Below are 27,316 nucleotides of genomic sequence, written 5' to 3'. Positions count from 1 at the left end.
CAGGAAATAGAGAGAATGCCACCAAGATACTCCTCGAGAAGAGCAACTCCAAGACACATAATTGTCAGATTCACCAAAGTTGAAATGAAGGAAAAAATGTTAAGGGCAGCCAGAGAGAAAGGTCGGGTTACCCTCAAAGGGAAGCCCATCAGACTAACAGCAGATCTCATGTCAGAAACTCTACAAGCCAGAAGAGAGTGGGGGCCAATATTCAACATTCTTAAAGAAAAGAATTTTCAACCCAGAATTTCATATCCAGCCAAACTAAGCTTCATAAGTGAAGGAGAAATAAAATACTTTACGGACAAGCAAATGCTGAGAGATTTTGTCACCACCAGGCCTGCCCTAAAAGAGCTCCTGAAGGAAGTGCTAAACATGGAAAGGAACAATCGGTACCAGCCACTGCAAAATCATGCCAAAATGTAAAGACCATTGAGACTAGGAAGAAACTGCATCAACTAATGAGCAAAATAACCAGCTAACATCATAATGACAGGATCAAATTCACACATAACAATATTAACTTTAAATGTAAATGGACTAAATGCTCCAATTAAAAGACACAGACTGGCAAATTGGATAAAGAGTCAAGACCCATCAGTGTGCTGTATTCAGGAAACCCATCTCACATGCAGAGACACACATAGGCTCAAAATAAAAGGATGGAGGAAGATCTACCAAGCAAATGGAAAACAAAAAAAGGCAGGGGTTGCAATACTAGTCTCTGATAAAACAGATTTTAAACCAACAAAGATCAAAAGAGACAAAGGCGGCCATTACTTAATGGTAAAGGGATCAATTAAACAAGAAGAGCTAACTATCCTAAATATATATGCACCCAATACAGGAGCACCCAGATTCATAAAGCAAGTCCTGAGTGACCTACAAAGAGACTTAGACTCCCACACATTAATAATGGGAGACTTTAACACCCCACTGTCAACATTAGACAGATCAATGAGACAGAAAGTCAACAAGGATACCCAGGAATTGAACTCAGCTCTGCACCAACCAGACCTAATAGACATCTACAGAACTCTCCTCCCCAAATCAACAGAATATACATTTTTTTCAGCACCACACCACACCTATTCCAAAATTGACCACATACTTGGAAGTAAAGCTCTCCTCAGCAAATGTAAAAGAACAGAAATTATAACAAGCTATCTCTCAGACCACAGTGCAATCAAACTAGAACTCAGGATTCAGAATCTCACTCAAAACCACTCAACTACATGGAAACTGAACAACCTGCTCCTGAAGGACTACTGGGTACATAACGAAATGAAGGCAGAAATAAAGATGTTCTTTGAAACCAACGAGAACAAAGACACAACATACCAGAATCTCTGGGATGCCTTCAAAGCAGTGTGTAGAGGGAAATTTATAGCACTAAATGCCCACAAGAGAAAGCAGGAAAGATCCAAAACTAACACCCTAACATCGTAATTAAAAGAACTAGAAAAGCAAGAGCAAACACATTCAAAAGCTAGCAGAAGGCGAGAAATAACTAAAATCAGAGCAGAACTGAAGGAAATAGAGACACAAAAAACCCTTCAAAAAACTAATGAATCCAGGAGCTGGTTTTTTGAAAGGATCAACAAAATTGATAGACCACTAGCAAGGCTAATAAAGAAAAAAAGAGAGAAGACTCAAATAGATGCAATAAAAAATGATAAAGTGGATATCACCACCGATCCCACAGAAATGCAAACTACCATCAGAGAATACTACAAACACCTCTATGCAAATAAACTAGAAAATCTAGAAGAAATGGATAAATTCCTCAACACGTACACTCTCCCAAGACTAAACCAGGAAGAAGTTGAATCTCTGAATAGACCAATAACAGGAGCTGAAATTGTGGCAATAATCAATAGCTTACCAACCAAAAAGAGTCCAGGACCAGATGGATTCACAGCCGAATTCTACCAGAGGTACAAGGAGGAACTGGTACCATTCCTTCTGAAACTATTCAATAGAAAAAGAGGGAATCCTCCCTAACTCATTTTATGAGGCCAGCATCATCCTGATACCAAAGCCGGGCAGAGACACAACCAAAAAACAGAATTTTAGACCAATATCCTTGATGAACATTGACGCAAAAATCCTCAATAAAATACTGGCAAACCCAATCCAGCAGCACATCAAAAAGCTTATCCATCATGATCAAGTGGGCTTCATCCCTGGGATGCAAGGCTGGTTCAATATATGCAAATCAATAAATGTAATCCAGCATATAAACAGAACCAAAGACAAAAACCACATGATTATCTCAATAGATGCAGAAAAGGCCTTTGACAAAATTCAACAACCCTTCATGCTAAAAACTCTGAATAAATTAGGTATTGATGGGATGTATTTCAAAATAATAAGAGCTATCTATGACAAACCCACAGCCAGTATCATACTGAATGGGCAAAAACTGGAAGCATTCCCTTTGAAAACTGGCACAAGACAGGGATGCCCTCTCTCACCACTCCTATTCAACATAGTGTTGGAAGTTCTGGCCAGGGCAATCAGGCAGGAAAAGGAAATAAAGGGTATTCAATTAGGAAAAGAGGAAGTCAAATTGTCCCTGTTTGCAGACGACATGATTGTATATCTAGAAAACCCCATTGTCTCAGCCCAAAATCTCCTTAAGCTGATAAGCAACTTCAGCAAAGTCTCAGGATACAAAATCAATGTACAAAAATCACAAGCATTCTTATACACAAACAACAGACAAACAGAGAGCCAAATCATGAGTGAACTCCCATTCACAATTGCTTCAAAGAGAATAAAATACCTAGGAATCCAACTTACAAGGGATGTGAAGGACCTCTTCAAGGAGAACTACAAACCACTGCTCAATGAAATAAAAGAGGATACAAACAAATGGAAGAACATTCCATGCTCATGGATAGGAAGAATCAATATCGTTAAAATGGCCATACTGCCCAAGGTAATTTACAGATTCAATGCCATCCCCATAAAGCTACCAATGACTTTCTTTACAGAAGTGGAAAAAACTACTTTAAAGTTCATATGGAACCAAAAAAGAGCCCGCATCGCCAAGTCAATCCTAAGCCAAAAGAACAAAGCTGGAGGCATCACATTACCTGACTTCAAACTATACTACAAGGCTACAGTAACCAAAACAGCATGGTACTGGTACCAAAACAGAGATATAGATCAATGGAAAAGAACAGAGCCCTCAGAAATAATGCCGCATATCTACAACTATCTGATCTTTGACAAACCTGAGAAAAACAAGCAATGGGGAAAGGATTCCTTATTTAATAAATGGTGCTGGGAAAACTGGCTAGCCATATGTAGAAAGCTGAAACTGGATCCTTTCCTTACACCTTATACAAAAATCAATTCAAGATGGATTAAAGACTTAACCATTAGACCTAAAACCATAAAAACCCTAGAAGAAAACCTAGGCATTACCATTCAGGACATAGGCATGGGCAAGGACTTCATGTCTAAAACACCAAAAGCAATGGCAACAAAAGCCAAAATTGACAAATGGGATCTAATTCAACTAAAGAACTTCTGCACAGCAAAAGAAACTACCATCAGAGTGAACAGGCAACCTACAAATTGGGAGAAAATTTTTGCAACCTACCCATCTGACCAAGGGCTAATAACCAGAATCTACAATGAACTCAAACAAATTTACAAGAAAAAAACAAACAACCCCATCAAAAAGTGGGCGAAGGACATGAACAGACACTTCTCAAAAGAAGACATTTATGCAGCCAAAAAACACATGAAAAAATGCTCAGCATCACTGGCCATCAGAGAAATGCAAATCAAAACCACAATGAGATACCATCTCACACCAGTTAGAATGGCAATCATTAAAAAGTCAGGAAATAACAGGTGCTGGAGAGGATGTGGAGAAATAGGAACACTTTGACACTGTTGGTGGGACTGTAAACTAGTTCAACCATTGTGGAAGTCAGTGTGGCAATTCCTCAGGGATCTAGAACTAGAAATACCATTTGACCCAGCCATCCCATTACTGGGTATATACCCAAAGGACTATAAATCATGCTGCTATAAAGATACATGCACACGTATGTTTATTGCAGCATTATTCACGATAGCAAAGACTTGGAACCAACCCAAATGTCCAACAATGATAGACTGGATTAAGAAAATGTGGCACATATACACCATGGAATACTATGCAGCCATAAAAAATGATGAGTTCATGTCCTTTGTAGGGACATGGATGAAATTGGAAATCATCATTCTCAGTAAACTATCGCAAGAACAAAAAACCAAAGGCCGCATATTCTCACTCATAGGTGGGAATTGAACAATGAGAACACATGGACACAGGAAGGGGAACATCACACTCTGGGGACCGTTTTGGGGTGGGGGGAGGGGGGAGGAATAGCATTGGGAGATATACCTAATGCTGGATGACCAGTTAGTGGGTGCAGCGCACCAGCATGGCACATGTATACATATGTAACTAACCTGCACATTGTGCACATGTACCCTAAAACTTAAAGTATATTAATAAAAAAATAAAATAAAATAAAATAATTACAGTTAATTTTATGCAGTTATAATTTAATACTGCATCTTTACTTCTGTTATCTCTTAGAATGACACCATGTATGGTCTATAAGTGTTTGTATGCATACGTTTTGATAAATTTTAACTTTTTATAATATGTTTGTGTATATTTAATGATTGTAAATCATAAAATAGAGTGGTATCTACATATATATTTTAAACATTCATAAAATAATGTTTTCTTAATTGTTTTATTTGAGGCTACACAGTTCCCCTGTGAGTTTTTTTCACATTGTCACAAAACTCCAAAATGTTTTCAATATATTTATTGAAAAAATAGTTCCTATATAAGTGGATCTGTGCATTTCAAACCCATGTTGTTCAAGGATCAACTGCATAATAACACATATCTGCCATTATAATATTCTACATGGCAGCTCACTGCCCAATCTTCTGTGCTCTACCTGTTCATTCCTCCCGCTCCCTAACCTCTGAAAAACACTGATCTTTTTACTGTCTTCATTGATTTGCCTATTCCTGAATGTCATATAGGTAGACATATAGCATGCAGCCTTCTCATATTGGCTTCTTTCACTTAGTAATACACATTTAAGATTCCTTCATGTTTTTCTCTAGCCTGATAGCTCATTTCTTATTAGCTCTGTATCGTTTTCTATTGTCTGAATGTACCATAGTTTATTCATCCATTCATTTACCAAAGGACATGTTGGATGCTTCCAAGTTTTGGTAATTATGAATAAGGCTGCTATAAACATTCATGTACTAGTTAATACATACATGTAAATGTTTGACTTATTTGGATAAATATCATGGAGCATTATTGCTGGATCATATGATAAGGGTATGTTTTGTTTTATAAGAAACTGCTGCACTGTCTTCCAAAGTGATCACACCATTTTGCATTTCCACCAGTAATGAATGAGGGTTCCTGTTCTACGTCCTCACCAGCATTTGATGCTGTCGGTGTTTCGAATTTTGTCCATTCTAATAAGTGTGTAGTTGTATCTTATTGTTTTCACTTGCAATCCCTTTGGGCATATGATGTTGAGTATCTTTGCAAATGATTGTTTGACATCCCTATATATTCTTTGGTGAGGTGTTTATTCCAATCTTTTGCCCATTTTTTAATTAGGTTGTTTATTCATGTTTTTATTTTTAATCTCTCTTTGAATGCCATTTAAACGAGACTATAGAATCACACTAAATGTTCCATATTTTAATACAGCTTGAATATTACTTCAAAAATCTTCAGGTAAAAATAAATAACATCTATACGTCCTCAATGCTATAAATTTCTCAAACTAAGTTTTCACTAATCAAAGAGTTTATTCATTGAATGCTGAATAGGTATTACCATATAATAACCCTTTCCATCCACTTTGTATCATTCTTTCTCAACAAGATATAAATGATTGTAAGGGTTTTTTAAAATATAATTCAGCAATCATAGCACAAACTTGAAAAATAATAATCTGTGTTCTAAATACAGAAATTGAAGTTACATAGAATTGAATTCTATGTCCAAAATCAGTTAAGAAACAGGAAGAAAATAAACAGCAGGAGAAAAATCAGAATCCAGACTCATTTTATGCTTTATTTTCTAATGTACTAATAAAAAGAACTTCCAAATTTCTATATATGAAAGTTGAGAAGGTGACAAAATAGAAGATGGATTCAGAATCACTGTAATATATCAAGATTTCTCAATCTCGGCACTACTGACATTTGAGACAGATAATTCTTTGTTAGATGGACTGTCCTGTGCGTTGTAGGATGCTTAGCAGCATCCCTGGCCTCTACCCACTAGATGCCAGTAGCATTTCCTTTAGTTTTGACAACCAAAAATGTCTCCAGACACTGCCAAATGTCCTATTTTTGTGGCGGGGCTGGGAGAAAATTGCCACTTTATTATATTAAATAATTATTTCTTCTCCTAGAAAATAAAGGTCAAGAAGTTAAAGTTTAAAGAAAAGGTAATAAAAAATATATACAACACTTTTCACCTTTTATTCTATATCAGGCAAACTGTATGAAATGCATAAGGAGCAATCCACTAAATATAAATCTGTCATTTGATTCAAATAACTGGTCACAACCTGTGTGCATGAGAAATGTGGGTTTTGTGGTTTTTGCATGATTGGTGTCTCAGAAGCACAGCTGAGAGGCATAAATCACAGGATGGTGTCAATCACTGGTTTGGCAGTCCAAAGGAACAAGACTGATCTAATACCAAGACAAAAATGACACTTTTCAAAAATATATCAGTTCCTTCCAGTTATTTACATGTTTTAATTGATGATTAAACTTTTGGTTTCATCCTCCTCAATTGTTATTACTATATTTTACTAGCATAGCTCCAAGGATGTTTCCTGGGAGAGATTATTGGCATAAATGGAGGGAAGTGAATGGGCTTTCAGGAAAAATAAATCTAGCTTTGAATTCAAAGTTTATACTAGGTCCTTGGGTCTCTTCTTTTCTCTCATCCGTTTCTTTTTCTCTATTTGAAAGAAAATAATACAAAATCATGAGTGTATTAGTCAGGGTTCTTGAGAAACAATAGGAGAATTGGCTTACAGATTATGGAAGCCAAGAAATTATCCGATCAGTTAAGCCAGAAAGGGAGAGATAGCAACACTGGTGTAAGTTCTGAAGTCAGAAGGCCTAAGAACCAAGAGGTCCAATGTCCAAAGGCAGGAGAAGATGAATATCCTATCTTGAAAACAGGGACAATTTGCCCTTCCTCTGCTTTTCATTCTTTTTAGGTCCTCAATGGATTGGATGATGTCCAGCTGTTTAGGTGAGGGCATCTTCTTTACCCAGTCTACTATCTCAAATGCTAATCTCTTCCAGATATACCCTCAGAGGCACACCCAGAAATAATGTTTAACTGGCTATCTGGGCATCTCTTAGTCCAGTCAAGTTGACACATTAATTGACAATCACAATGGATATAACCCATGTGTATTATATAATATTTTAAGGATCATATAAAGAACTATTAAATGCTCTTTCACTTAATAAAATTTTACTGAGAACCTATTAGATACTAAGCACTGTTCTGCTCTTGTGTGACTTACAAAATAGTATCACTGAGACAAAAGTAAATACGTAAATAAATCAATAAATGAGTTTTAAATTAAGGATATAGAACAAGGCCAAGTTCCAGAGAGGGAGGGTTCCTGTTGAGACATGCTTTAGATATCATGGTTAGGAAGACCTACCTCCCTGACTCCACTGACTGGCTACCTGACACCAGGTAAGCTCCTCTCTTTCCTGTGTTTCTATTTAAGTAACTATAAGATGAAATAAACTTATAGAATTGTTAGCACACAATCAGGGGCAAGTAGCACACAATAAAGTATTGTCTATTATGATTACAGTATTAAATTTTATATAATTCTCAATATAAAGTTTGGATATCATCACTCCCAACAACCTCTTCTGTGGATTTCATAAAGTTCAAGTCTGAAAAATTCCTCTCTGGACTAAATCAATAATTCTATCTTTACATTTAACAAGACTGATTTCTTTTTCTTTTCTCTTTTTTTTTTTTTTTTTTTGAGACAGAGTCTTGCTCTGTCACCCAGGCTGGAGTGCAGTGGCATGATCTCCACTCACTGCCACCTCTGCCTCCTGGGTTCAAGTAATTCTCCTGCCTCAGCCTCCTGAGTAGCTGGGATTATAAGCATCTGCCACCACACCAGCTAATGTTTTGTATTTTTAGTAGAGACAGTGGTTTCACCATGTTAGTCAGGCTGGTCTGGAACTCTTGACCTCAGGTGATCCACCCACCTTAGCCTCCTAAAGTGCTGGGATTACAGGCATGAGCCACCGCACCTAGCCAACAAGACTGATTTCTGACAAAGTGTTAGATGCCATGGTAACGTTTATCACAAGTTATTCAATGCATGACAGCCCCCTTGGGGACAGTCCATAGGGTTTACAACTCATTTCTTGAACAGGTCTTTTTTTTTTTTTTTTTTAAATGTTGGTTGAATGAACAAAGAAGGAACCACAGACAAGAGAAATTTCCTGCTATATTTTCTTTAAGATCCACCTCCATTCCCCTCTAATTTTCTCTTTTTCTCTCTATTCTCTTCCTCCTTTGCTACATCTTGCAGGTGAAATAGACTCTATTCCAAAGGAGACAAAATAATTGTAATATCTAATCTTTCCAAAAAAGGCTTCAGTAACAAAACACACATATTTACTAAGAGTTTCCAGGTACTTCCAACTAAGGTGCAGTGTGATCATTAAAGGAAAGACATCAAAAAGTGTAAAAAATATTACATAAATACAAATCAAGAGTAGAAGACTTAAAATTTTAATCCCATTTTTATCAAGAGTAATCCACTAGGTAAGGCATTCTATATATCTGTATATGAAATGAGGATAAATAATTATAAGATGAACTAAATCTATAGAATTGTTATTAGAATTGTCTCCTTTTGGCTGACTCTCTTTTCAGACTGAGCCCACCTGCACCCAGGTGAAATAAACAGCCATGTTGCTCACACAAAGCCTGTTTGGTGGTCTCTTCATACAGACGTGCATGAAGTTTGGTGTCGTGACTCGGATTGGGGGACCTCCCTTGGGAGATCAATCCCCCGTCCTCCTGCTCTTTGCTCCGTGAGAAAGATCCGCCTACGACCTCAGGTCCTCAGACTGACCAGCCCAAGCAACATCTCACCAATTTCAAATCCGGTAAGCGGCCTCTTTTTACTCTCTTCTCCAACTTCCCTCACTATCCCTCAACCTCTTTCTCCTTTCAATCTTGGCGCTACACTTCAGTCTCTCCCTTATCTTAATTTCAATTCCTTTCATTTTCTGGTAGAGACAAAAGAGACACGTTTTATCCGTGGACCCAAAACTCTGGCGCCAGTCACGGACTGGGAAGGCAGGCTTCCCTTGGTGTTTAATCATTGCAGGGATGCCTCTGTGATTATACATCCACATTTCAAGGGTGTCAGACCACACAGGGACGCCTGCCTTGGTCCTTCACCCTTAGCGGCAAGTCCTGCTTTTCTGGGGAAGAGGCAAGCACCCCAACCCCTTCTCTCCTTGTCTCTACCCCTTCTCTGCCTTTCCTGGGGCAGGGGCAAGTACCCCTCAACCCCTTCTCCTTCACCCTTAGCGGCAAGTCCCGCTTCCCTAGGGGGCAAGAACCCCCCAATCGCTTATTTCCACACCCCAACCTCTTATCTCTGCACCCCAATCCCTTATTTCCACACCCTGACCTCTTATCTCTGTGCCCCAATCCCTTATTTCCATGCCCCAACCCCTTCTCTGCTTTTCTGGAGGGCAAGAACCCCCAACTCCTTCTCCATGTCTCTACTCTTTTCTCTGGGCTTGCCTCCTTCACTATGGGTAAGATTCCACCTTCCATTCCTCCTTCTTCTCCCTTAGCCTGTGTTCTCAAAAACTTAAAACCTCTTCAACTCACACCTGACCTAAAACCTAAATGCCTTATTTTCTTCAATGCCGCTTGACCCCAGTACAAACTCGACAGTAGTTCCAAATAGCCGGAAAATGGCACTTGCAATTTTTCCATCCTACAAGATCTAAATAATTCTTGTCATAAAATGGGCAAATGATCTGAGGTGCCTGACATCCAGGCATTCTTTTACACATCAGTCCCTTCCTAGTCTCTGTGCCCAGTGCAACTCATCCCAAATCTTCCTTCTTTCCCTCCCGCCTGTCCCCTCAGTCCCAACCCCAAGCGTCGCTGAGTCTTTCTAATCTTCCTTTTCTACAGACCCATCTGACCTCTCCCCTCCTTGCCAGGCCGAGCTAGGTCCCAATTCTTCCTCAGCCTCCGCTCCTCCACCCTATAATCTTTTTATCCCCTCCCCTCCTCACACCTGGTGGGACTTACAGTTTCATTCTCTGACTAGCCCTCCCCCACCTGCCCAGCAATTTACTCTTAAAAAGGTGGCTGGAGCCAAAGACATAGTCAGGGTTAATGCTCCTTTTTCTTTATCCCAAATCAGATAGCATTTAGGCTCTTTTTCATCAAATATAAAAACCCAGCCCAGTTCATGGCTCGTTCAGCAGCAACCCTGAGACACTTTACAGCCCTAGACCCTAAAAGGTCAAAAGGCCATCTTTTTCTCAATATACATTTTATTACCCAATCTGCTCCCGACATTAAATAAAACTCCAAAAATTAAATTCCGGCCCTCAAACCCCACAACAGTATTTAATTAACCTCGCCTTCAAGGTGTACAATAATAGAAAAAAGTTGCAATTCCTTGCCTCCACTGTGAGACAAACCCCAGCCACATCTCCAGCACACAAGAACTTCCAAACGCCTGAACCGCAGCGGCCAGGCATTCCTCTAGAACCTCCTCCCCCAGGAGTTTGCTACAAGTGCCAGAAATCTGACCACCAGGCCAAGGAATGCCTGCAGCCCAGGATTCCTCCTAAGCCGTGTCCCATCTGTGCGGGACCCCACTGGAAATCGGACTGTTCGACTCACCTGGCAGCCACTCCCAGAGCTCCTGGAACTCTGGCCCAAGGGTCTCTGACTGACTCCTTCTGGGCTTAGCGGCTGAAGACTGACGCTGCCCGATCACCTCGGAAGCCCCGTAGACCACCACGGACGCCGAGCTTTGGGTAACTCTCACAGTGGAAGGTAAGTCCATCCCCTTCTTAATCAATACTGAGGCTACTCACTCCACATTACCTTCTTTTCAAGGGCCTGTTTCCCTTGCCTCCATAACTGTTGTGGGTATTGACAGCCAGGCTTCTAAACCTCTTAAAACTCCCCAACTCTGGTGCCAACTTAGACAACACTCTTTTTTTTTTTTTTTTTTTTTTTTTTGAGACGGAGTCTCGCTCTGTCGCCCAGGCTGGAGTGCAGTGGCGGGATCTCGGCTCACTGCAAGCTCCGCCTCCCGGGTTCACGCCATTCTCCTGCCTCAGCCTCCCCAGTAGCTGGGACTACAGGCACCCGCCACTACGCCCGGCTAATTTTTTTTTGTATTTTTAGTAGAGACGGGGTTTCACCGTTTTAGCCGGGATGGTCTCGATCTCCTGACCTCGTGATCCGCCCGCCTCGGCCTCCCAAAGTGCTGGGATTACAGGCGTGAGCCACCGCGCCCGGCCGACAACACTCTTTTATGCACTCTTTTTTAGTTATCTCCACCTGCCCAGTTCCCTTATTAGACCAAGATATTTTAACCAAATTATCTGCTTACCTGACTATTCCTTGGACTATAGCCGCATCTCATTGATGCCCTTCTTCCCAATCCAAAGCCTTCTTTGCATCCTCCTCTTGTATTCTCCCACCTTAACCCACAAGTATAAGATACCTCTACTCCCTCCTTGGCGACTGATCATGCACCCCTTACCATCTCATTAAAACCTAATCACCCTTACCCCGATGAATGCCAATATCCCATCCCACAGCATGCTTTGAAAGGATTAAAGCCTGTTATCACTCGCCTGCTAAAGCATGGCCTTTTAAAGCCTATAAACTCTCCTTACAATTCCCCCATTTTACCTGTCTTAAAACCAGACAAGCCTTACAAGTTAGTTCAGGATCTATGCCTTATCAACCAAATGGTTTTGCCTATCCACCCCATGGTGCCAAACCCATATACTCTCCTATCCTCAATACCTCCCTCCACAATCCATTATTCTGTTCTGGATCTCAAACGTGCTTTCTTTACTATTCCTTTGCACCCGTCATCCCAGCCTCTCTTCGCTTTCACTTGCACTGACCCTGACACCCATCAGGCTCAGCAAATTACCTGGGCTGCACTGCCGCAAGGCTTCACAGACAACCCCCATTACTTCAGTCAAGCCCAAATTTCATCCTCATCTGTTACCTATCTCGACATAATTCTCGTAAAAACACACGTGCTGTCCCTGCTGATCATGTCCAGCTGATCTCCCAAACCTCAATCCCTTACAAAACAACAACTCCTTTCCTTCCTAGGCATGGTTAGTGCGGTCAGAATTCTTACACAAGAGCCAGGACCGCACCCTGTAGCCTTTCTGTCCAAACAACTTGACCTTACTGTTTTAGCCTAGCCCTCATGTCTGCCTGCAGCGGCTGCCGCTGCTTTAATACTTTTAGAGGCCTTTCCTACAAGGTCTGAGAAGGCCACCACAGTCATTTATTCTCTTCTGTCAGACACAATTCCTCAGTTTAGCCTTCCCACCTCTATACAGTCTGATAACAGACCAGCCTTTATTAGTCAAATCAGCCGAGCATTTTTTCAGGCTCTTAGTATTCAGTGACAGACTAATGGTCTATTAAAAACACACCTCACCAAGCTCAGCCACCAACTTAAAAAGGACTGGACAATACTTTTACCACTTTCCCTTCTCAGAAGTCAGACCTGTCCTCAGAATGCTACAAGGTACAGCCCATTTGAGCTCCTGTATAGACGCTCCTTTTTATTAGGCCCCAGTCTCATTCCAGACACCAGACCAACTTCGACTGTGCCCCCAAATAACTTGTCATCCCTACTATCTTCTGTCTAGTCATACTCCTATTCACTGTTCTCAACTACTCATATATGCCCTGCTCTTGTTTATACTGCCGGTTTACACTGTTTCTCCAAGCCATCACAACTGATATCTCCTCGTGCTATCCTCAAACTGCCACTCTTAACTCTTGAAGTAAATAAATAATCTTTGCTGGCAGGACTATGCTGAACCTCCGTAGGCACTCTCTAATTAGATGTCCTAGGTCCTCCCAATTCTTAGTCCTTTTATACCTGTTTTTCTCCTTCTCTTATTCCATTTAGTTTTTCAATTCATACAAACCGTATCCAGGCCATCACTAATCATTCTATGTGACAAATGTTTCTTCTAACCACCCCAGAATATCACCCCTTACCACAAGATCTCCCTTCAGCTTAATCTGTCCCACTCTAGGTTCCCACACCACCCCTAATCCCGCTTGAAGCAGCCCTGAGAAACATCGCCCATTCTCTCTCCATACCACCCCCAAAAATTTTTGCCGCCTAACACTTCAACACTATTTTGTTTTATTTTTCTTATTAATATAAGAAGGCAGGAATGTCAGGCCTCTGAGCCCAAGCCAAGCCATCGCATCCCCTGTGACTTGCACGTATACGTCCAGATGGCCTGAAGTAACTGAAGAATCACAAAAGAAGTGAAAAGGCCCTGCCCTGTCTTAACTGATGACATTCCACCATTGTGATTTGTTCCTGCCCGACCTTAACTGAGTGATTAACCCATGAATTTCCTTCTCCTGGCTCAGAAGCTCCCCCACTGAGCACCTTGTGACCCCTGCCCCTGCCCAGCAGAGAACAACCCCCTTTGACTAATTTTCCATTACTTTCCCAAATCCTATAAAACGGCCCCACCCCTATCTCCCTTTGCTGACTCTCTTTTCAGACTCAGCCCGCCTGCACCCAGGTGAAATAAACAGCCATGTTGCTCACAAAAAAAAAAAAAAAAAAAAAAAGAATTGTCTCATTTTATAGACACCCAAGGACCTGCAGGACAGTTGACCTGATTTTACACAGTGCAACATCACAGTTGCATTCTGGCCATTTTGACCCTATGACTCTCAAATGATCCATTCTTCATCTTTATGGACTTGTGACAGGATAATAAGCTTGAATACCTACTGTAGTTAGATACAGGCTATGTATACTCTTTTCTTGCACCATTCAGCTGACCAAAGGGATAAACTAAACATCCTATCTATACTCTAGAAGAGGGATGTCCAGTCTTTTGGCTTCCCTCGGCCACATTGGAAGAAGAATTGTCTTGGGCCACACATAGAATACACTAACACTAACAATAGCTGATGAACTTAAAAAAAAAAAAAATTCAACAAAATCTCATAATGCTTTAAAAAAGTTTAGGAATTTGCATTGGGCTGCATTCAAAGCAGTCGTGGGCCGCATGTGGCTGGTGGGCCATGGGTTGGACAAACTTGCTCTAGAACAACCAGTTGTTCTCATCAGGATAGAGACTATCTAGATGCCCCCAGAATTGCCCTAAGTATAGCTGACTTGCAGTGTCAGCAAATTTCAGTATAGTTAGATACACGAGTACAGTGCCTGCATATTATTAAACCATTGTTCATGACACTGCCTCCTCTAATTCTGACTGTTAGAAATTGTGTATTTGAAGGGGGTGCATCAATCAGTGCAATGTAAAAAAATCAAAACACTTTTGTAAAGAAGAAAATTTTTTTAAAGTCATAAGTAGTACACAATAAAGTGTAAGCTGTTATGATTGTAGTATTACATTTTACATAATTCTCAGCGTAAAGTTTGAGTAGTATTACTCTCAACAACTCTTCTGTAGGGGGCTCACGCGTGTAATCCCAGCACTTTGGCAGGCCAAGGCAGGTGGATCACTTGAGGTCAGGAGTTCAAGACCAGCCTGGTCAATATGGCGAAACCCCATCTTTACTAAAAATACAAAAATTAGCTGGGTATAGTGACATGCACCTGTAATTCCAGCTACTTAGGAGGCTGAGGCACAAGAATCGCTTGAAACCAGGAGGCAGAGGTTACACTGAGCTGAGACCACACCACTGTGCTCCAGCCTGGGCCATAGAGTGAGATTGTGTCTCAAAAAAGAAAAAAAATAGCAACAACTCTTCTATAGATTTTATTAATTTCATTTAATTAATTAATTCACTTTTAATTCCTAGAGCATTCTAAGAAAATCCTAATTTTAATAATAATTTTGTATTGGACATATGTAACTTACCATGTACCAGGCAACCTTCTAAGTGCCTTATATTAATTAACCATCATGTGGAAACTATTGTTATCTTCATTGTATAACCAAGCAAACAGGCACAGAATGGTAAATAACTGTATGAAGTTTACATGCCTAGAAAGCAGTGAAAGGGAGACAGATTGAAATCTAAGTAATTTGGGTCCTGAGTCGATGAATCTAGCCCCTATACTATTCTGCCTTAAAAAAGCAAATTACTTCAATATCAACTTCAAGTCTTAGTGTTATACAAATCATAGGACTTTTACAACTGGTAGCAATATTGATATTTTCGTCTGAAAAGACTCCAAAGAAAACAGATATCAATTTATTACTTTCATGGACAATAAAGCAAGTATTTAACAATAAATGCCTCTAGTCCTTCAAAAAGACCTTCACATGTGGCTTCAGTTTTGCTTTTTGTTTTTGTTTTAACATGGCATAAGTGTAAAGAAATTACATAGTACCATAAATTCATTGCCTTGGGATAGTTTGGCAGAGTTTATTAAGAGCATCAAGTCACTATTTCAGTGTTTTTGTTAGCTGCTAGTATATAGGATTGCTAGGTTAGAGAGGAAAAGAAAGAAGATGTGAAACTGAGAGGAATACAACAGAAGTGAAATGTGACATTTACCAGCAAAGTACAAAACCAGACACTTAAGATATAAAAAGGAGAAAAACCTATTCATGGCAAAAAATATTATTAGGGAAGAAATATAAACAGTTCACTGAAATAACAGAAACTGAGAAATTTTTTAAAGATACTCAGAAAATACTGAGGTTTTTTTTTTTTGTTGTTGTTGCAGAATTTGTTCTGTTTAGTCACATATGTCTTTAAGGCCCTATAGATCAACATAAAGGCTAAGCATTGTCTGGTTTCCTCTGCCTCTGACCTCCACCCAGTCATTACCTTTTATGAATGTGTGGGATGTGAAGTAGGATTGGAATGACAGTGCATCATTTCAACAAATCCTTTGCAATATTTCTGGGAAGAGCAGATACTTTGGCATACTTCATTCAAATGATACATTTTTTGCATAAGTAGTTTAGAAAAAGGAATATAAACTGGTCCATTTGAAAAATATTTCTGCATAAAAAAGCAAATTTTTATGTTATATAAATATCACTGAAAGGAAAGATTTCTGCTGAAAGTGGAGCAATCCCGAAGACTTTGGATGAAAGCACATTTTACCTTTGAGAAAGTTACTATGAAGTTAACTATTGGGAATCTCACTGTTATTTGAGATGTTAGCCTCCAAACGGTTTGAAGAAATTGCAAGGTTGAAGGAAACTACAGTGAAAGTTCCAATTCAGTTAGAAGGAAAAACAATGAAGTGTAGAGGAAAGAATATAGCAAATATTTCAAAAGAAGAACATTTTCTTCCAAGCTTGGTAGCCAAAGCTAACTTTGCTCCAGAGATCTCAGAGACATGTGACCTGTGGCCTGTGAAAGATTTATATTACTTACACTTTTGCAGGTTGTTTGAAAAAGTTTCAGTGCAATGTCAATCCTGGTCAGTATATAGATGTCTGGGTTTTCTTTTTATTAAATAAATCCCAAACTAATTTTGAGAGTACCAATCCCTACTCCTTTCTTCTATTTTTTCATTGTTATGTATTGTCTTATATGTGAAAAATAAAAAAAGTTAAAAACCAGACAAATATTCTCCACCCCAGATATAATTAATATTAACCATTTCAATTATTGCTCAATGCATTTGTCCATGCATAATTGAGATCACACACCATGAAAACTGAAAAAGTATTTTCTGACATCGTCTAATGACTGAATGATATCTCATGTTATTTTAATAGGAAATATTTGGTTATTTTCAATTTTTGACTGTAATATATAATACAATGGTGAGCATATTTTCACATATATTATTTCCAGCATTGTGATTTGTTTTATTCAAATAGATGTATAGAGGGGAGAAAATGCTCATTGAGTTCATTCATCTTAAAATCCTGTATTGATGAGTTAGTGTACAGCTTCAAGTAATTTTTAAAGAGGGTATATAGTTTATACAGTTTTTTGAACCTATGGGAAAATGATGTTTCTCTCTTGTCTTCATTCATAGATGACTCTATAGAGATTACTTCATAGTTTTCTGATATTTAGTGTCAGGGTGGTGAAGTTTGATGTCAGCCTCAGTTTTATACAAAGATGCTTGTAAAAGCCTTTTGTAAAATATAAAATAAAATAAACTCTGTAAATCCAAAATGTTACAGGATGAGATAAGGTGTATTTCCATTAATTTTTTTTTTTTTTTTTTGGAATTTAACTGGTCCTTTTGATTTGTATTTCTAGGTCTTTTTACCCTTAAAACATTCCACCTCAAATATCTTTCTTTATCCTCTGTCTCAATTGTGACTTCTTCAGAAGTATATGTAATTCTTAGGCTGGATCTCCATTAACTGACCTCTGCATCAGCATGTCCCTTCATATTTTACCTTTTTGTTTTATAGTAATAGTTTCAAGGGGTCCTCCACATCAGTGATTCAAATTTTTTTTTTTTTTTTTTTTTTTTTTTTTTTTTTTTTGAGACGGAGTCTCGCTCTGTCGCCCAGGCTGGAGTGCAGTGGCGCGATCTCGGCTCACTGCAAGCTCCGCCTCCCGGGTTCACGCCATTCTCCTGCCTCAGCCTCCCAAGTAGCTGGGACTACAGGCGCCCGCCACTACGCCCGGCTAATTTTTTGTATTTTTAGTAGAGACGGGGTTTCACCGTTTTAGCCGGGATGGTCTCGATCTCCTGACCTCGTGATCCACCCGCCTCGGCCTCCCAAAGTGCTGGGATTCAAATTTTTTAACACTATCAATTCTGTTGTTTCTTCCAATAAATGTGTTCATTCATATAATTAATTCTATTCTTGATTTCTAGTTTTTTAGAACTCTTCCTTAAGTCACAAATCTATAGTGGATAACTGCATAGGTTTCTGAATCCAGCTTTACTACTTCCTAGCTATGTAACCATAGGAAAAGTTGTTAGAGATGATACAAGTTTTCTCTAAACCTTCTTTGAAGAGGATAACAATAGTACCTCCCTAAAAAGTTTGTTGTGAGGATTAAGTGAAATAATCTCTGAAAATGCTTAATATAGTGCCAGGCAGTTAATAAACAGCAAATACTACTTCTGATTATTGTAATCATCATTATTGTTATGTCATCGTTTCTTTACATGTCAGTGTATTCTCTCTGTAAGGTTTTCTCCTCCCATTTCTGCTTGAGTTTATAATACAACACAGTGATTCATACTGTTTGAATTTTTATTCTGTTTCAAGTCTATTTTGGTTGCAAAGTCCAAGAAGATAGGTTTGTAGCCTTTAAGCCTGAAGTGTCTACACCTCTCCATTTCAGTTTGCCAGGCTTTGAGTAAAATGGAAGGTCACTTGATTTATTCAACATCTCAGGAATTCATTCTGGATGAAAAATATTCTGTGGCCACCACCACAATTGCTATGTGAATACAAAGTTTCAAGCAAGTTAAAGTCACCCATTCTACCAAAATGTATTCAATAGAGTGACAAGGAATACATCTAATGTAAAAAAGAGTTTGCCCTGACACGTTTATTAACAGTGGATAAAAGTATACAAAGTATGCTATTTATTTCATTCAATAATAAATTCAGCTAGTATTTATTAAGCACTTACCATTTGCCAACCTGTTAAAGGAGCTTCCTGACTTCATTAATGTTTTAAGAGACATGGTTTTCTTGTTCTCAATAATTCCTGGAATGTAAACTTCCTGGGAGGATTTAAAGCATGTGACTGGCCACCACAATACTACTTGGAACACATGTTTTCCTAAACGTAGCTTCTCCTGATTCAACCAGTGATATGTATCACTTGTTAGAGAGAGAAGAATATCACCATTCAGTTGCATTATTGATAGCACATCGAAGAAAAGCAATAACCAGAGATAACTAAAAAAAAAATCCTGTACTTCTAAAGCTCAGCAAGTGTACATGTCTTTACTTTCAAATGACAGAAATACACTTGCAAAGTGGTGATGAGAAGTAGAAACAAACAAAGCAGAAAGATTATAGTCTGCCTTATGGAATTCAAGAAGTTGACAAAGTGGAGACTACTTTAACAATGATAACAGCTAGAATGAACCAGAAAATAATACTTATCTTCAAGGCCCTAAAAGCCTCAAATCTTTCTAAATTTAATGAACGTCTACGATCTAAAAATGGGTTAGGTCTGCATTAATTCTGGTTTAAACAAGACAGAACAAGACAGAAAAACTCATAAGCACTCTATAAAATATTCTGAGGTCGTCCAATATAGCATTATTTTTTGCTGAGTCCAGACTTAAATTTGTAAGTAACTGTTCTTTCAATAAGAGAAGCCCTGTAACCAAAGTATATAAAGAAGATCCATTACTAACAAGAGCAAAGAAAATTCTTCATGAGAAATCTGCTGAATTAGGCAATGTGCTAACAATTTAAAACACTTCACAAAGGAATTAAAGCAAATATCATATATTCATGGGATATTAGAACCAAAAGTGACTTTGTAAAAAACATTTAGTCTAATCCTTTTATGTTGCAGATGGAGTCCCTCAGTAGCAATGGTAATACAGTGCCTTGCTTAAGGTTCCTGTCATTTTGAGTGAACCAGGACATGTCACAAAGTTTCCAGGACTATGAAGTGTAGACTACACCTGAAGCCACAACACAATTATATACTTGCTATCTGAGGGCATACTTACCCTAATATATCTAAATGGCTTGTGATTGAAGCCTTTGTCTAAATTATTATAACCAGTTCTTGAACAACTATAGGTTGGTAAAGAAAAACCTTCAGAATAAACTGGAATTATATTGCTGGTCTAGAGTTTCAGTATCTTCTGCAAATAAATACAAAATGCTTAACAACAGAGGGCACTCTAATAAGTTTGTCTAAATATATGTGTGTGCATTACCTCCAATTCAGGCTTCTCTTCTGTAACTCATATTTAGAAATTCAAATTCCTCATCAACAACTTCATGTGAAAATGTCCTCCCCTCTTTCAGATGGTAACTCAATGGACATCTCTCAGTAAAACCTTCTCTGACCCTCCTTTCAAAAATTGCAACATACTCCTAGAATCCCCACCCGCCTTCTCAAATTTATTTTCCTCCAAATCACTGATCACCATCTAACACATTTTATATTTTACTTACTTCTTTCATATATTGTCTTTCTCCCCATCTATATTCCTGCACCTAGTACAGGTTCTTTTGTGAGCATGCAATAAATATGTTTTTGATAAATACATGAGTAAATTAATTAATTAATTTCTAAGAGTCATATATTTACAAGTAAAGAGTATTTGATTCTACCATTCTTCTAAAGATTCTTTGTGAATATTAGTCGATCTGATTATTTAAACGGAGTCATTTTTTCTAGATCGATGTCATTAAAGCAATATTACTCTGTAGATTGAGCTATAGTACATGACTATACTATGTAATTACATGATGATATTGAGCCCTTAAAGAAAAGAAAAAAATTATGCTCTTGATAGAAAATACATAACTAAAATGATAATTTTTCTGGTTCTTTTCCTATTTGATTTCAGTCTAGAGTTAATCTGTCTTCAAACTAAGATGCTATTGCCCAGCTTAGGACTTTACTCTTCATTTATATACTAAACCTAGAATTATCTTCAAAGTATCAAAATATCTTTGAAGAGGTGGGATGTGAAGAAGTACTTACGCTCCATGACAGCACACAGGGTTTTCTTCATGCTTTGCCCACTAAAATCCACAGTGAAATAACAGGAAGGAAGAAAAAAGCCACTTTCTAAAAATAACATAATTCAATCCAAATGTCCATTCATTTTCTTTATTCATGTTACAATTTATTTCAAAGCACACTTTTATTTTAGATTCACAGGAACTTCAATATGTTGGGACTTAGAAAATTAAAATTAACTTTTCTCATAATACTCCGCTCCTTGCTTCAAGGTTTTTTTTTTTTTTTAATTCTGAAAAAAAATGTCTGTGACAAGATTTCTCTGAGTAATAAAAATAGCCAAGAGAGCACTAACTATATATGAAACCTTTTTCCTCCACCAGAACTTATTATTTCTGTAGCTTTATTATAAAAAAGTATTTTTTCTTTTATTTGAAGGAAAAATATCAATATTCCATTTCATGAAATCTGATTTGAAACTGAGAAGCTCTCAGATACATAGTTTTAAAAAATATGGAAAGCTTCAATGGGTGCATAGCTGAGATGCTGAGATCATGTGGAGAGGATCGAACAAGGTATGAATGAAGGGCAATTAGAGTAAGTTGCATGTGAATATGTATGATGTATATATGCAGATATTTAGATGTGTGTGTGTTGTGCATTTGTGTATGTTTTTGCACTATAAAGAAAATGATGCAACTGGGCGCAGTGGCTCATGCCTGTAATCCCAATACTTTGGGAGGCCGAGGCGGGCGGATCACCTGAGGTCAGGAGTTCCAGACCAGCCTGACCAACATAGTGAAACTCCGTCTGTACTAAAAATACAAAACTTAGCCAGATGGGGTGGTGCACACCTGTAATCCCAGCTACTCAGGAGGCTGAGGCAGGAGAAGAATTGCTTGAACCTGGGAGGCGGAGGTTGCAGTGAGCCAAGATTATGCCACTGCACTCCAGCCTGGGCAACAGAGCGAGACGCCATCTCAAAACAAAAAACAAAAAACAAAAACAAGAACAAAAAGGAAAGACAAGGAAAAGAAAAGAAACGAAAAAGATCCAAGACCGTCACAGGGATGAGGTGTTTGAAAATCAAATTTTAAAAAAATTAACATTTATTGAGCACTTTTTCTGGACAGACAAGACAAAGTACTTTATGTGTAATATATTATTTCATTTAATCCTCATATTAGCTCTTTTGAATGAATTGGTATTAATCATTTTACAAATGAGGTTTGCATTAGTTTCCATGGGCTGCTATAATGAAGTACCACAAACTTGCCTTAAAATAACAGAAATTTGTTTTTGTGGTTCTGGAGGCCACAAGTCTGAAATCAAAGTATCAGCAGGGTCATGTCTCTCTGAAGATTATTGGAGAGGATCTCTCCTAGCTTCTGGTAGTTGCCAGCAAGGCTTGGCATTCCTTGGCTTGTAGAAGAATACAATCTCTGCCTCCATTTTTACTCAGCATTCTCCTCACGTGTTTGTCTTCACAACTTCTTCTCTGTGTGTGTTTCTCTTGTCTTCTTATAAAGATAACAATCACTTTGTATTTATGGCCCACTCTACTTCAGTAGGACCTCATTTTGAGTTAATTAATTACATCTGCAAACACCTTATTGCCAAAAAGATTATATTCTGAGGTTCCAGGAAGCACATGAATGTTGTGGGAATGGTGGAAATTTGTCATTTCAATGCAAGGTTACTGAGACTCAGAATTGATAATTCTGTTACTTTAGTACTCAGGTAACAGAATCACCTAAACACGTTTTATACGTTTAAAGAAACAAAATCTGAGATTTAATATATGGACTAGAGAAAAAGAGATTATTAAAAACAAGTCTTGAAAAATAAAAACATAAAACTTTTTCATTTTTAATTTTTTTTTTGAGACAAAGTCTCACTCTGTTGCCCTGGCTGGAGTGCAGTGGCACGATCTCAGCTCACTGAAACCTTCACCTCCCAGGTTAAAGCGATTCTCTTCCTTCAGCCTTCTGAGCAGCTGGGACTACAGGTGTGCGCCACCACGCACAGCTACTTTTTGTATTTTTAGTAGAGATGGGTTTCACCATATTGGCCAGGCTGGTCTCGAACTCCTGACCTCATGATCCACCCGCCTCAGACTCCCAAAGTGCTAGGATTACAGCCATGAGCCACCGCGCCCAGCCTTATATTTTTTATTTCAATAGGTTTTTAGAGAACAGGTGGTGTTTGGTTACACAAATAAGTTCTTTAGTGGTGATTTCTAACATTTCGGTGCACCCATCACCTGAACAGTGTACACCATACCCAGTGGGTAGTATTTTATCCCTCATCCTCATCCTATCCTTTACCTGAAGTTCCCAAAGTCCATTGTATAATTACTATGCCTTTCAGTCCTCACAGGTTAGCTCTGACTTATGAGAACATACAATGAAAAACATAAAACTTTAAAAATAACAACTATAACAACATGTAAAATACTCAATGCACAACACAATTGCTATAGCTAAAAATAAAATTAACCAAATAATTATCTTAAATTTTCCATAATGTAGCACATCTAAATATACAAATAGAAAATATGATAAAGAGCTAATAGACATGGAAAATAAAGTAGGAAAGTTCAATATCCACTTAAATATTTGTAGAAAAAAGAGACAAAAAATTAAATGGAAGAAACATTTAAAGGGATCATGGGGAAAATAATTACAAAACTAAAAATTGGTTAATAGTTACAGAAAGGGTAATGGATATCAAGTAAGATAAATGAAATGAAAAGCACATCTAGGCATGCCATAAAAAAATCTTATGACCAGCCAGAGAAGAAATACAGATCATCTTCAAATGAACAACAATTATGACAACTGATTCCTCAACAGCAGCAGTGGAAGTTAGAAGAAAATAAAATAACTTCACTATGTTAATAAAAAATTAATGTCAAACTAGAATCATTAGTGTTTATGTGTTACATCTGTTTTAAATTCTTTCATCTTCAACCTTTTTGTGTATTCATATTTAAGGCATATCTTTTTAAAAACAGCCAATAATTGAATTCTGTTTTTCTCTACAGCATATTACTCATTTATTAGAATATTTAGTCCACTTAACATTTAATGTAAACACTGACATTTTATTTTAAATCTATCATATTACTGTTTATTTTTATTTATTCCTCTTGTTCTGTCTTCCTGTTTTACTTCTTTCTTGCCTTCTTTGTGTTAAAAAAATTTTTCCACTTTCTTTCCTCTATTGTTTTTTGTGGCACATTTATTTACTATTCTTTTAATGAATACTCTAAAGTATATGATTTTCATAGCCCTGAACTGTGAGACTAACAAAAGCTTTGCTCAACTTCTCAGCTTTGGTTCATCAAATGCTTTGAGAACAGTAGTGAGTAACGTTTGGCTCACCTCAATTCAATTCCCTTCTCTTCTGGATCTTGACCACTCACATTTTGGCTGCTTCAGTACCTCTTTAATGCCTTCAAACACATGTTTTATATTTTACCCAGCTTTTTTAGTTACTCTCAGAGGGAAGATTGGGTTTATACAACCCAATCCATAATTCCTAGAAATAGAGACTTCAATATATAATTTGATACCTAACAAGAATATACTTTTAAAACAATAATAAGATTAAGAAAGTTATAAACAAGCAAAGCCTGAGAGCATTTAATCTAAGAGAACTTCATTAAAGAAAATTCTAAAGAATGTGTTATAGGCAGAAAAAAGATGCTATTTCTTCCAAACTCATAGACATTAAAAGAATATAAATAAAAGAAAACTTTAGATTTATCTATTTTTAAGGGTAGTAGAGGATTTTAGAAACTAAGAAAAAGAGAAATACATGAAAAGATAAACTAAGATGACATAAATAAATCCAAATTTATCTAAACCACAGTAAATATAAATAAATTTAACACCATTTAGACACAAATAGTTGACAGATTTTTAAAATATATCTATATGCTGAAGGTATACACCTAAAAGATAGAGTGGATGAAAGTTAAAGCACAGAAAAAGATATATTTCAATACTAGCCAAAATAAAGTGGGAATAATTATATTTCAATCAAACAAAATAAACTATAAGGCAAAGACATTATTTGAAATATAAAGTCACTATACAATGAGAGGAGACTAGATTTACCAGGGAAATAGAATCATTCTAAACTTATATGCACCTAAAAATATAAAAAATAGGAATTGAAAATATTTGTAAGCACCAGAAATACAAGAAGAAATTTGGAAAATTTACTAACAGAGTGGAATATTTAGCATTTTTTTAGTAATTTCTAGATTTAACAGATAAAATGTCACTGAGGACATAAAACACTTGAACAACACTGTATTAATCAGGCTATGATAGGTTACAGTGTAGAAACAGTGCAGAAACAGGTAAATCTTGAAGCCTCAGTGACTTACAATAGAAGTTTGTTTCTCCTCATATTAGTCATCAAGAATTAAGAAATTGTGATTTCTTCCATTTTATGGCACTGTCATCTTCTAGGCCCCATTGGAATTCTATTGAGCCTACTAGGTCCTCTGCATTAAACTGGCCAAAAAGAAATGAGAAAGAAGGAAGAACTTTCATGACATTGTAAAGACAAAGACAAAAGTGCCTTATGTTACTTCTGCCCGTTATTCTCATGGACAGAATGCTGTCATAGAATCCTAACTCAACTGAAGGAAGACTTAGAACTGCAGTCTTCCTTTGCATCCAAGAAAAAGAGATAGGATTGTTGAACCTTTAACCAGTCTTTGCTACAAACACAATTGATAAGTTTGATGTAATGGAAAAACACAGAACATTTCATCAAGGTAGAGAACACGCATTCTTTCAAGGACACATAAAGCATTTAGGAGATTTGATCTCATACTTGACCATAAAGTAACTCAAAAAATTCCAAAACACAGTATCATATAGATTATACATTAAGACTTCAATTTAAATAAATTAGAATTAATAACAAAAACACAACTAAAACTCTCCAAGCTTTTGAAACTAAGAAATGTAAATAACCTATAAGTTAAAATAACGCTAATGGAAATAAAAATATTTAGAATGAAACAGCAACCAAATATTAGTACAATACACACAATAATGTTTCTAGAAATAAATTTGTAGCCTTAAATACTTATAGTAAAAAAAAAAAATTTTGAAAATGAACCAGCGAAGCATTAAGCATTATATATTAGAAAAAGGACAGAAATTTCCAAAAAGTGAAGGAAAGCATAAAGTATAGAAATTAATACATTAACAAATATATGTACCATGTAAAGATTTAACAAAGCCAAAAGTTGGCACTTCAAAAAGACTAATAAGACCAGTAAGTTTCTAACATGACTGATGAAGAAAGGAAAGACACAAAAAAGGTATAGCCTGTTTGTGCTAACCAGAGAGCAACTCATACCAACTTATCTTGGGTTCCTGTCATAACACAAAGGGAAACTTTCACAATGTGTGAAGCGCTTGATGCTCTGTAGATGAAGGAGGAGAATGTTCTCAAATTCCTTACATCAGGAACTTACTTAGGTGGTATCAGCCTTGACTTGCAAATGGAACAGTACCTCTGCAAGAGGAAAAGTGATGGCATTTAAATTATAACTCTGAAGAGGACCTGGGAAGAGTTCTGCTGGTGGCTCATGCCATTGAAAACCCAGCTGATGTCAGTGTCAAATCTTCCAGGAATATCAGCCAGCAGCTGTGCTGAAGCGGGCTGCTGCCACTGGAGCCACTCCAATTGCTGGATGCTTCACTTCTGGAACCTTCACCAACCAGATCCAGGCAGCTTTCCTGGAGATACGTCTTCTGGTTAATGAGATAACTTTTCAATCAATGATGCTAATTTGATATGCAGTTAGCAGAAATAAAATTTAATCTCTGCTTCATACCACACACAAAAATAAATTCCAGGCAGATTAAAGATTTAAGTGTGAAAGGCAATATTCTAATTGACAACATTTAGAAAACATGTTTCCACCTCTATAGTAATGAAACCATATAAAATTTAAAAATACTTTCTCAGGGTTGTAAGCGTATGTTTTAAAATTGTAAAGTAAAGCTTAAAGATAACATACAGAAAATTCCAGATAGTGGTAATCATTGGGGCCTAGAGAGGAGAAGGCAGTGGGGAATGACTAGAAACTGGTTTTTAAGTTACCAGTAATGTTCTATTTCTGAAGCTAGCAGGTTGGGTCTACAGGCTTCAGAAGCAGGATTATTATTTGTATAGGATTTAATGAGATTATTGTTTTATACTATACACATATATATATTTAGAAATATACCTATCTAATTATCTCCAACAAATATTAATTGTTTATTTTTTATTTTTAAAAAATTAACTTTGTTGGCTGGGTGCGGTGGCTCACGCCTGTAATCCCAGCACTTTGGGAGG

General features: G+C 37.4%; 1 long non-coding RNA gene and 1 pseudogene across 1 annotated transcript in view, besides 1 other annotated feature; one reads left to right on the top strand and one right to left on the bottom strand.

Moving 5' to 3' along the window:
- Positions 1 to 11,828, bottom strand: part of LOC112267962 (uncharacterized) — a 162,505-nt gene extending 150,677 nt beyond the window's left edge. Inside the window, exon 1 of the long non-coding RNA XR_002956360.2 lies at positions 11,739 to 11,828. This is a non-coding gene — a long non-coding RNA (uncharacterized LOC112267962). The remainder of the gene's footprint in view (positions 1 to 11,738) is intronic.
- Positions 12,632 to 13,249: an enhancer, noted in NCBI's record as "H3K27ac hESC enhancer chr6:81193272-81193889 (GRCh37/hg19 assembly coordinates)". NCBI's record gives its function as "activates a minimal SCP1, AML or CMV promoter by ChIP-STARR-seq in primed H9 embryonic stem cells {active_cell/tissue: H9 hESC(primed)}" and the evidence as "EXISTENCE:reporter gene assay evidence [ECO:0000049][PMID:30033119]".
- RPSAP72 (ribosomal protein SA pseudogene 72) lies at positions 26,305 to 26,738 on the top strand (annotated as a pseudogene).

The sequence above is a fragment of the Homo sapiens genome, chromosome 6 (assembly GCF_000001405.40).
Source record: "Homo sapiens chromosome 6, GRCh38.p14 Primary Assembly".
NCBI lineage: Eukaryota > Metazoa > Chordata > Mammalia > Primates > Hominidae > Homo > Homo sapiens.
This window is presented reverse-complemented; position numbering and strand designations above follow the sequence as displayed.